Source organism: Homo sapiens, chromosome 8 (genome assembly GCF_000001405.40).
Source record: "Homo sapiens chromosome 8, GRCh38.p14 Primary Assembly".
Taxonomy (NCBI): Eukaryota; Metazoa; Chordata; class Mammalia; order Primates; family Hominidae; genus Homo; species Homo sapiens.
Window position 1 is genome coordinate 8,586,512 of NC_000008.11, and position 10,673 is coordinate 8,597,184.

Below are 10,673 nucleotides of genomic sequence, written 5' to 3' on the forward strand. Positions count from 1 at the left end.
AGCACCTATGTCCTATGCATAGTAGTTATTATTATCATTTCTTTTTTGAGACGGAGTTTCACTCTTGTTGCCCAAGCTGGAGTGCAATGGCATGATCTTGGCTCACTGCAACCTCTGCCTCCCAGGTTCAAGCGATCCTCCTGCCTCAGCCTCCCGAGTAGCTGGGATTACAGGCATGTGTCACTACACCTGGCTAATTTTTGCATTTTTAGTAGAGATGGGGTTTCACCATGTTGGTCAGGCTGGTCTCGAACTCCTGACCTCAGGTGATCTGCCCACCCTGGCCTCCCAAAGAGCTGGGATTACAGGCGTGAGCCATCGCACCCAGCCAGCAGTTATTTTTTAAATTTACTACATAATTTCTTAAAATTCATTATATTTTTTAAATTTGCTGTACAATTTACCCATTCATTATGTTTTTATTTTCTGCCCTCTTTTTTCCCCTAAATATTCTAGGGCAGGGATCTTTGTACATTTGGTTTACTAATTGTATCCCACTTTCCTAGAATGGTGCCTGGCATGCAATATATCCCCAACAAATATTTTTTGAATAAGTAGCAGTAGTTCAGATAAGCTATAAGGGACTGAATTAGAACTATGATACTGCAAAGAAAAGGAGAAAGACTTCAGATATAGTCATAAGATTTCCCAATTACTCAAAAGTGCTGGGTGACAGAAGGGGAATGGTGTGGAATGAATGTCAGGCTTGGATGACTAACTGGGACAGAGGACAACTTGGTATGGAGGACAGGGAAGATAATGACGAGCTCTGTTCGGGACATTTTTGGTTGGACTTGGCTTTGGAATACTCAAGTGGAGACTCCGCAGGAAGTTAGAATTCAATTTTAAAGCTCACTAGAGAGATTAGAACAGATGCTGTACAATTAGAAGCCATCAGCAAACTGACTTGCAAATAAGCTATTGGCACCCTAACTCAAGGGACTAGATATCAGTAGCCAGCAAGAACTCTATATTATGTTATATTCATACAGAGAAAATATAATGCATATAATGCATACAGAGAAAAGAGAATTTCCAGGCACATTCTACAAGAGATGGCAATATTTGTCTATAATTTCAAATTTTATTCTCCAAGGCTGGTTTTTCCTATGAGATATGAGCTATAACATCCCAAGATGAAACAAAGATTTTCAAAAGTCAAGGTGAAACCATTCATGGGGTGATTACATTTTGTTCAACTGAAAAGTATTAAACACATACACACATACACACACACACAAACTTAATTACGTTGTTTATCTCAGATAATCATCTAAGTGTTGGTGAAAGGGCAAAATATGACTTTTCCCTCTAAACTAAAACACAACATTTCCCCCTCCCCCAGGAATCTCATAGATTTTTAAAAGGCATCGTATGAAGGCAGGTAATATTATCTTGCTTTACAAAGGGGTCAGTTCACAAAAAGGTTAAGGTAATTCCCAAGGACTGTATAAAGAGTCAGAGGGCGACTCCTGGAACAAATCTTCAAAATCTTGGATCTCAGGCCCAGGGTCCCCAAACTGAGGTCATCCTTCTGGTCACAAAGGCTTAGGCAGATTTATGAGATAAGCAGGAGTCACAGCAGTAACGTTAGATTTCGTGGTTTGAATGCTAATAGTTCACTCTTTCTCTGCTCTTTGAAAACTCGTCTCCTTTAATTTCTGCCTATTTTTTAAGCCTGGATGCTTTAGAGCCTAAAGCATCTGTATGTTTTTTGTACCTCTTCTGTCTGTATCTTCTGGTCCTGAATCCTGCTGACCCAGAGATGGGGCTAGGAGTTGCAGGGGCTTCCTTCTTTCTCTGTGGTGGGGAAAGGGCTCCTGATTTTGTCTCATGATGCAAAGAAGTGGTATCAAAATCCAGAAACTTGAAATTCTGAGTAAGGCTCTGTCCTAAAGATCCCAGTGAGGTTGGAAATATTGCCCCTGGTTTCTTGTTCTGCAAAATGAGGAGGTTGGACTTCATCCTTTGGGGTTGTTTTTTGCTCCATAGGTCCATAACTGTATGTTAAGTGAATAAGTCCATTTGAATGGTAGCATCAAAAGGTAGCCAATTCCATTCAAATAAACCAAAATGAATAAACAGTTATATGTCTGTGCTATTTTTGTTCACCAGAATTCTGGGGGCCCCACTGGACAGACTGTCCCACCACATGGAGTGGCTCCTCAATGGAGGAACAGTGTGATCTGGGGGTCAGGGCGTGGGGGTGATGGCAGAGCCAGCATGCAGTGGGGAAGGTGTTTATCTGGAAAATGAGAAAGGCCGTATAACACATGATGGGGTTTTTCCCTATGACACCTCAGATCTTCAATTAAGCACAAAACACAGTGAGATTGCATTGCCTGTGGGAAATAGAGAAAGGCAAGCTCTGCGTTTGGCTTTACATCCAAATCGGACTTAAGGTGACACAGTGAAGAATCTATGGGATCAGAAATAAAAACAGGGAAAAATGAAAGGAAAATGTAGAATTTGTGGGGGGAGGGTGGGACTCTGAACTCCTCCAACCTAGAATAACAGCTAGAGCCTAATGTTACCTAAACTCATGAGAGAAAGCATGGCCCCGAATGATACATCATAATATTTGGGTTACATAAAAAATATTTTAGGCCAAATGTCAGAATTATTTCCCCAAATATTAATATGAATATTACACCAAAAGAACCCTGAATCTTCATTGCAAAACAAAATTAAGCAAAATAATTAATATTAATGACTGTAACTTCATTCAAACCCAATGCTGAAACAACGATACGTACCACTTAACATAAAACATTCCTAAAATCATATTCATGAAGCCACTGCAAATGTTTATATATATCTACACTCATTGACAGGGAAGTACTACACAAGGTAATGTGTTTTTAAAAAAAGAAAAACAGGCCAGGCACGGTGGCCCATGCCGGTAATCCCAGCACTTTGGGAGGTCAAGGTGCACAGATGGCTTGAGCTCAGGAGTTCAAGATCAGCCTGGGAAACATGGTGAAACCCCACCCCTACAAAAAAAAAATACAAAAATTAGCTGGGCATGATAGCATGCACCTGCAGTCCCAACTACTGGAAAGGCTGAAGCAAGACAATCGCTTGAGCACAGGAGGTAGAGGTTGCAGTGATTTGGGATCGTGCCACTGCACTCCGGCCTGGATGACAAAGTGAGACTGTCTCAAACAAGTGAATAAATAATAAAAAAAGAAAAACAAAACCCAGATGGCTGAGCAATTAGTATGAATATATTTTTTAAATATATGTGTGTGTATATTTGCTTGGCAAAAATATCTAGAAGGATCTACCTGATATGTATATAATACTATTTTTGCATTATAATATTTAAATTTTTATTTTAAAATGTTTATCAATATATTCTAGCTTTTCTTTTTTTTTTTTTACTATGTTTATGTTTACTTTCAAAAAGTTAATCACAGCCTTAAATCAGAAAGGTAGAAACCCAGTTGACAGTAATTCCTCTGCATTGACTTCTTCCCGTGGAGGCAGGGAAAACCTTGTCTTAGAAAAGAATTGTTTCAGAACCACTGTCCTGATTAAAACCCGGACTTGGTTCCTGAAGCCCAAAGGCTACATCCTGAAGCATTGTCCAGAAACAGTGAGGAGAGGTGGCCTCTCTGGCTCAGATTCTTCTCTTCCTGCTCTGTTCCCTAGGACGGTCATTCCTTGCCAAGGACTAAAAGGAGTTCCGCATTCCTCACAGGCTCCAATGAACATATTGGCTTAAATGGTCTCCTACCTAAGAATCTGCTCTTCACAATGGAAGAAGAGGAAACCAACGGAGTGGAAAAACTGGATGAAGATTAGGAATAAAATAAGCATGTGACCTGCAAGGCCTGTGAAAACATGAAAAATAACCTGAAGAGCCTTTCTCATCAAATTTAGGATCCACTCATGTCCAAATGAAGTGTCTAATGTGCAGTCAAGGGGTCCAGGGCTGGGGTATCAAAGATATTGGAAGCCCACTGATACTGTTTGGCTGTGTCCCCCACTAAATCTATCTTGAATTGTAATTCCCATAATCCCCATGTGTCATGGTATGGACCTGGTGGGAAGTAATTGAGTCATGGAGGCAGTTTTCCCCATGCTATTCTCATGATTGTGGTAAGTTCTCATGAGATCTGACAGTTTTATAAGGCGCTTCCCCCTTCACTTGTTTCTCATTCTCCCTCCTGCCGCCTTGTGAAGAAGGACATATTTGCTTCCCCTTCTGCCATGATCATAAGTTTCCTGAGGCTCCCCAGCCATGCAAAACTGGGAGTCAATTAACCTCTTTTATTTATAAATTACCCAGTCTCAGGTATGTCTTTACTGGCAGCGTGAGAATGGACTCATACACTCACGGTTTATCAAACAAACAAACAAAAAACAAATGCAATTCCAGGTCATCTCTGAACTGCAGGAGGGCTAGAAGTCATCTTAGATGGAAGTTCCATATGGCTCTCACATCAAGCAGAGCTAATCCATTTGAAATAGTCAGGGGCATTTATTAGCAATTCATCAGTGAATATTTATTGAGCATATTGGACAGATACTGGCTCTCTTGCTTAAAACAGTAATGAAACACATCACAGTTTTATCCGAGAAGAGTTCCAGAAGGAAATCTCTAGGTAATGAGAGAGAAATGTAAAAGCAACCTCAACTCCCCCAAATTCCTCTGACCCATCGATATTTACTTTTCCCTTAAGAATTTCAATTTCTCCTACTATCATAAAACCCAACTCTTCTTCCTTTAAAACCCCATTCAACCTTAGAAAAAAATGTTCTTTCCTAGGTTCCTCCAGTGATGCCTAGAAAGCCCGACATTTGCAAGAACAACCTTATCAAATATTAAGACACAGCAAAAATAATATTTTGTAGACAGTTCCCCAAAGGAAAAATGGTCATGACTCCAAAGTTGTTGAGTTGTTGATAACTCTGCAGTAGTCACAGGCAACAGGGCAGGTCGTTAACCACCACTAAGCTTCCAGCTCATTCTGCTTCCCAGACAATTCCTAAGACCCACAGCTCTCTTACACCTCCCATATTTTATTTCCTAAGGTAGCACAGCACCTATTTAACTGAGGGCCATGACAAGTATATGATGCTTTAAAGTTGAAGAGTATTAAGGAACATCAGTGCTGCTCCTAGCACGATGGATCATACGTGTAATTCCAGGACTTTGGGAGACAGAGGTGTGAGGATTGGTTGAGGCCAGGAGTTAGAGACAAGAGTGAGCAACATTGCAAGACCCAATTTCTACAAAAAACTGAACAAACAAACAAACAAAAAAAACAAAAATTAGCCAGGTGTGGTGGCATGCACACGTAGTCCCAGCTACTCAGGACGCTAAGGCAGGAGGATCACGTGTTCCCAGGGGTTTGAGGCTGCAGTGAGCAATGATTTTGCCACTGCATTCCAGCCTAGGTGGCAGAGTGAGACCCTGTCTCAAATAAATAAATTAATTCATTAAATAGCAGTCCTATCTTCTGGCCTTTCCCTTTTTTTTTTTTTTTTTTTTTTTTTTTTAGATGGAGTTTTGCTCCTGTTGCCCAGGCTGGAGTGCAATGGCACAGTCTCGGCTCACTGCAGCCTCTGCCTCCCAGCTTGAAGCAATTCTCCTGCTTCAGCCTCCCAAGTAGCTGGGATTACAGGCGCACACCACCACACCCGGGTAATTTTTTTGTATTTTTAGTAGAGTCGGGGTTTCACCATGTTGGGCAGGCTGGTCTCAAACTCCTGGTTTCAGGTGATCTGCCTGCCTCGGCCTCCCAAAGTGCAGGGATTACAAGCATGAGCCACAGCACCCAGCCCTTTCCCTTCATTTTTAATGTGTCATACCAACTGAAGACCACAATAGATTATTTGGAAAGTGAGAGCTAACACTAATCCTAACCTATGTAGTATAAATACAAATTTTAAGTAGTAGGAATTAAATTGAAGTCAACTCATAGTTTTTAAAGGACTACTATGTGTTAAGTACTGTATAAAATATAGACGGGCTTACAAAGATAAGCCAAACATGGCTCTGGCCTTCAAGGAGTTTATAATCTAATAGTGGAAATAAGACAAAAGTAGACTTTACTATAAGACAGAAAGTACGTTCATAAGATTTTCTTCCAATGTACTAAGACGCTTAGAGGAGGAAGAGAACACATCCAATTAGAAGTTCAGGGAAGACTTCGTAAAGGAATTAGCACTGGAATGAGCATTAAAGAATGAAATGGACAGAGACGAAAGACACTCCAAAAAAGAGAAATATTATTAGCCAAGGCCCAGAGTTGAAAAAGCATGGCAGGAAATCAGGCAACTGAAGCTGTGGGGGAGAGTCAGAGTAGAGAAAACTGATTCAGAGAAGAGTTTGTGCTTAATTCCATAAGTGATGGTAGCCCACTGAAGATGTGGTGATATGGAAATCTGGTGATCTGAGCTGGACATTGGGTCAAATAAGTGGACATACCTTTGCAGGATAGGTTGGACAGGGACAGGGACTAGAGGTTAGGAAGTCAGTTCAGGTCAACTGCAATGGTCTAGGGAAGAAGAAAAAATGGTCTAAACAGGGGAGGTGTTACTGGGCATGAGCGTGGATGGATGTGTTGGGCCTGAAAGAGGAAGCCTCTGCAGGAGTTGGAGACCATCATCATCTGCGGAGGGCAAGGAAGAGTGAGGAATCAAAGTGAGTCCAAGGTGTCCAGTCTGAAAGGTAGGGAGGGTACGGTAGCCTCAACCTTGATGGAGAACCATGAGGGAAAACCTATTCGGAATATTAAACTATAAGGAACAGTCAAGTGAAGCCAGTTGAGGAAGACCTTTTAAAAGGAACCGTTCTGGCCCAGCGTGGTGACTCATGCCTGTAATCCCAGCACTTTGGGAAGCCGAGGCGGGCCAATCACTTGAGGTCAGGATTTCGAGACCAACCTGGCCAACATGGTGAAACTCCATTTCTATTAAAAATACAAAAATTAGCTGGGTGTGGTGGGGCATGCCTGTAGTCCCAGCTACTCTGGAGGCTGAGGCAGGAGAATCGCTTGAACCCGGGAGGTGGAGGTTGCAGTGAGCTGAGATTGCTCCACTGCACTCTAGCTTGGGTGACAGAGGAAGACTCCATCTCAAAAAAAAAAAAAAAAAAAAAGAACAGTTACAAGACAGGAGATCCCTTTGCTTTTCTCTTTTTTCTTCTATGTGGTGTTGAAACACCAGCAACTTTCTGGTTTATCCCTTCTGTATAAGGAATGATGCCAGAATGGGAACTAGCACTTGGTAGTTCCCAAATATTCTTTCCATCTGTGAACCAATTTTGAGGCTCTCAAGAGATTTGATTTTCTCTGTTCAGCTCCAAGGATCCTTTAATTAAAGAAAAAGCTGAAATGCAGCCTAGAGATTAGGTAATCAAAGCATGTTAAAGAAGCCATTGATTCAGCGTCTCTCAGAAAAACAACTCCGCTGAGCAGAAATCTCACTTTGCAAACAGAGTCCTTCAAGTACAAATCCAAGCGGAGAAAAAGGCTGCATACGGATGCTTCAGGATTATACACCAGCTCTCTTTCTAAAGTTCCTGATCCAGAAAATCAGCCCCAGGGCCAATATGACAGAAAAAAACTGCCCTTCCAGCACTCTGGGTCCCAGTGGCAAGCAGGGACCAGATGGTCAGGCGTTTAGGGACCTCTAGTTTTTGCAATTACAACGGAGAAAATAGTTTCCAGGGCAGACCCAGGTCAGAGCAGACCTGTGTCATCAGTGTCTTCTGCTTCAGTTAGCTCTTCAATCACTGTCTCCATTCTTTGTACTTGGGGATCAGGAAAGGAGGCTATTTTCTGCTCAATGACCAGCTAGTTTTTTCGTTACTTCTTCCTAAGAAACAGGGACTCCTTTGTCACTTTGCCAGCTTGCACTGGAAACCTCCAGACTTAAGTGACAATATATCTCAGTTTCCCTGGGACTGCCCAGGTTTACATATTGATTCCATGTAGGTTTTTTGTTTGTTTGTTTTTTGTTTGTTTGTTTTTTTAGGCAGAGTTTCATTCTCGTTGTCCAGGCTGGAGTGCAATGGCGCGATCTTGGCTCACTGCAACCTCTGCCTCCCAGGTTCAAGCGAGTCTCTTGCCTCAGCCTCCTGAGTAGTTGGGATTACGCACATGCACTACTACACCCGGCTAATTTTGTATTTTTAGTAGAGATAGGGTTTCTCTACCACGTTGGTCAGGCTGGTCTCCAACTCCCGACCTCAGGTGATCCACCCGCCTCGGCCTCCCAAAGTGGTGGGATTACAGGCATGAGCCACCGCGCCTGGCCGGTTCCATGTAGTTTTTATCAAGTTAAAACTTACAAATTGGGAGCAGTGGAGGATGCCTATGGTCCCAGCTACTTGAGAGGCTGAGGTGGGAGAATTCCTTGAGCCCAGGAGTTCGAGGCTACAGTGAGCTGTGATCATGCCCCTGTACTCTAGCCTGGGTGACACAGCAAGACCCCAACTCTCTGAAAATATAAGTTACTTATAGTTAAAATTATAGCTCTTAAGAGTACAATTCTATAGGTTTTGACAAGTAGATCCACCTGTATAAGCAACAACTCAAGATATACTCCATTTCTATGACCCCAGGTTTCCTCATACTGTCACCCCTCAAACCCCTCTCACCCTCATACACAGGTAACTACTATTCTGATTTCTATCACCATAGATTATCCTTTCCAAATCTTGAACTTCATATAAATGAACTCATACATTTGAACTCTTATAAGTTTGGATTATTTCACCCAACATAATGTTTCTGAGATTCAGCCATACTATTGCATGTTTATTTTTTTTTATTGCTGAGTATATTTCACTGTTAATGGATACGTGGGTTGTTTCCAGTTTGAAGAATTGTGTACAGAGCTGCTATAAACATTCTTTTTTTTTTTTTTTTTTTTTTTTTTGAGACAGAGTCTGGCTCTGTTGCCCAGGCTGGAGTGCCGTGGCATGATCTCGTCTCACTGCAAGCTCTGCCTCCTGGGTTCACGCCATTCTCCTGCCTCAGCCTCCCCAGTAGCTGGGACTACAGGCGCCCGCCACCACGCCCGGCTCATTTTTTGTATTTTTAGTAGAGACGGGATTTCACCGTGTTAGCCAGGATGGTCTCGATCTCCTGACCTTGTGATCCACCCACCTCGGCCTCCCAAAGTGCTGGGATTACAGGTGTGAGCCACTGCCCCCAGCTACTATAAACATTCTTACACAGCCTTTCCATTGGCATAGCTTTGATTTCTCCTGGATATATAACTAAGAGTGAACTCACTGGATTATAAGATTGGTGTAGGTTTAACTCTAAAAAACAAAAAGCTGCCAAAGAGATTTCCAAAATGAGTGTTTCATTTTATACACTTACCAGCAATATATGACAGTCATAGTTCCTCCACATCTTAGCTAATATTTGGTGGTTATCAGTCTTTTAAATGTTAGCCATTCTAGTGTGTGTGAAGTGGCATCTCAGTACAGTTTCAATCTGCATGTCCCTGGTCAAGGGTGATGGTTCATGCCTATAATCCCAGCATTTTGGGAGTCCGAGACAGGAGGACTATTTGAGCCCAGGAGTTTGAGACCAGCCTGAGGAACACGATGAGACCCAGTCTCTACAAACACACACACAAAAAAATCTTAAAATTAGCTGGGTATGGTGGTGCATGCTTGTAGTCCCAGCTACTCAGGAGGCTGAGACAGGAGAATCACTTGAGCCTAGGAGGTTGAGGCTGCAGGGAACCGTCATCATACCACTACACTCCAGTCCAGATGACAGAGCAAAACTGTCTCAAAAAAAAAATTGCATATCCCCAATGATTAATGATGTTAATTAAGTATGTTTTTGTGTGCTTATCGATCATTCACACATCTTCTTCTGTAAAATATCTATTCCATCTTTTGCCTGTTTTTTTATTGGACTGTTTGTCCTTATTTTGGATATATAGAAGTCCATTACATATCCCTGACTCTAGTCCCTTATGGCGATTAACGTATTGAAAATACCTTCCCGACTGGGCGCGGTGGCTCATATCTGCAATCCCAGCACTTTGGGAGCCCGAGGTGGGTGTATTGCCTTAGCTCAGGAGTTCATGACCAGCCTGGGCAACACGGTGAAACCCTGTCTCTATTAAAATACAAAAATATATATATATATATCAGCCAGACGTGCCACGTGAGCCTGTAGTCCCAGCTCCTTGGGAGGCTGAGGCAGCAGAATTGCTTGAACCCAGGAGGCGGAGGTTGCAGTGAGCCGAGATCGCACCACTCCACTTCAGCCTGGGCAACAAAGCTAGACTCCATCTCAAAAAAAAAAAAAAAAAAAGGGAAAAAGAAAGAAGAAAATACCTTCCCATAATATGTGTCTTGAGCTTTCATTTTCTTTATATTGTCTTTCCAGAGGCAGAAGGTTGTTTTTTTGTTTTGTTTTGTTTCTTTGATCATCTTTGGAATAATTGACATCTTGGCAATATTGAGTCTTCCAAATATCATGTATTTCTTCATTTATTAGGCCTTATTTAATTTTTCTCAGCAATATTTTGGTTTTCACCATAGTGGTATAGCTTTTGTTAAATTTATTCCTAAACTTTTTCGTTTTGGTGCTATTGTGAATGGAATTGTTATTTTCTAATTGTTTGCTACTATTTGTATTTAGAAATACAAATGACTTTTGTATATTCTCCTTGTATCCTGCAACCTT